The sequence below is a fragment of the Homo sapiens genome, chromosome 11, assembly GCF_000001405.40.
Source record: "Homo sapiens chromosome 11, GRCh38.p14 Primary Assembly".
Lineage (NCBI taxonomy): Eukaryota > Metazoa > Chordata > Mammalia > Primates > Hominidae > Homo > Homo sapiens.
The window spans coordinates 29,250,461-29,252,455 of NC_000011.10; the positions used below are offsets into that span (position 1 = coordinate 29,250,461).

General features: G+C 35.2%; 1 annotated feature.

The window, feature by feature from the left end:
• Positions 1,318-1,367: an enhancer, noted in NCBI's record as "active region_4552". NCBI's record gives its function as "activates an Ori minimal core promoter by ATAC-STARR-seq in GM12878 lymphoblastoid cells {active_cell/tissue: GM12878}" and the evidence as "EXISTENCE:reporter gene assay evidence [ECO:0000049][PMID:35858748]".

The window sequence follows — 1,995 nt, forward strand, 5'->3', positions numbered from 1 at the left end:
ATTAAAGCAACAATGTATATCACTGCATACCTATTACAATGGCCAATATCCAGAACATGGACAACAAATACGGCAAGGATGTGGAACAATAGGAACTCTCATTCATTGCTGGAAGGAATACAAAATGGTGCAATGACTTTGGAAGACAGTATCGCAGTATCTTACAAAACTAAACATGCTCTTATCATACAATACAGCAATTGTGCTCCTCAATATTTACCAAAGGAGGTAAAACCTTATGTCCATGTAAAAACTTGCACATGAATGTTTGTAGACACTTTATTCATAATTGCCAAATCCTGGAAGCAACCAAGTTGTCCTTAAGTTGATGAATGTACAAATAAACTGTGATATATCCACACAATTATTCAGTGCTTAAAGAAAGTGAGCTATCAAACCATAAAAAGATGTGGAATAAATTTAAATGCATCTTACTAAGTCAAAGAAGATAAATTGGGAAGACCACATATTATATGATTTCAAACTGTATGACATTCTGCAATAGGTGAAACTATGGAGATGGTTAAAAAGACCAGTGATTGCCAGGAATTAGGAAGGAGGGAAGAATGAATAGGCAGAGCACAGAAAATTTTTAGGGCAGTGAAACTACTCTGTATGATACTATAATGGTGGATACATTTGTCTAAACCCGTAGTGTACAACACCATGGATAAACCTTAATGTAAGCTTTGGACTTTGGGTGATAAAGATGTGTCAATGTAGTTTCATTATTTGTAAAGATTGTACTACCCTGTTAGGAAATTTGATAATGGGGAGGCTGTGCATGTGTAGGGACAGGGGAAATATGGGAAGTCTCTGTACATTCTACTACATTTTACTATGAACCTAAAACTGCTCTAAAAAATAAACTATTTAAAAACAAATCTTATTCTATTACTAGGACCAAATTAATGAAAAACAAAAACAGCAACAAAACCAATATTTGAATATCTGTTATGTGCCAAGTGTTGTACTCTGAGCTTTGTGTCCATTTCTCAATTAATCTTTAAAGTATTCTGTTAAGTATGCACTATATGTTGTGCCAATCATAGAAGACAAAACTGAAGCTTAATGAGGTTAAGAAATTGAACCAAGATGACTGGGCTAGAACATGGAGAAAGGAATTTAACGTATTATGACTAAAATTATATCTAATCTAGAACTAATATTGCTGATTTGGATATGATCTACCATTCTAAAAGATGGGTTGGGTTTATACTTTGGTTTAAAAACGTGATCAAATAATTAGTCCAATTTGAGATGCACAAAAGAAATGGATGGTGTTATGGTTTGGCTCTCTGTCCCCACTCAAACCTCATGTTGAATTGTAATCCCAAGTGTTGGGGGAGGGACCTAGTGAGAGATGATTTTATCATGGGGTCGGATATCCCCTTGCTGTTCTCATTATAGTGAGTGAGTTCTCACAAGATCTGGTTGTTTAAAAGTGTGTTTCACTTCCCCCTTCACGCGCTCTTGTGCTCTCTCTCTCTGTCTCTCCTATTTCCATGTGATGATGTGCTCACTTCCCCTTTGCCTTATGACATGATTGTAAGTTTCCTGGTGCCTCCATAGCCATGCCTCCTGTACAGCCTGCAGAACCATGAGCCAATTAAGCCCCTTTTCTTTGTAAATTACCAAGTTTCAGGTAGTTCTTTATAGCAGTGTGAGTACGGACAAATACAGACGCCAAAGAATTGATGAATGTATTCATATTTCATTTATAATACATGACTTTTCTCTTAGTCATAAGCATAAACATTTACTAATTTGAACAGCATTTAAAGAGACCTCTCCAGCATACCAGATATGTATTTCCATATGTTTCCCAATGAATTCTTCCCATTGAATTTGGAAGACCAAATTGACATTTATCAAATTTCAATTGGCTTACTTTATTGATTATACATGACACTGATCTCACATTTTTCCAGAAAATCATGTATATTGTATCTAAAAGATTCATCACTGGAAACTTTGATTTTGAGTTCTCTTCAA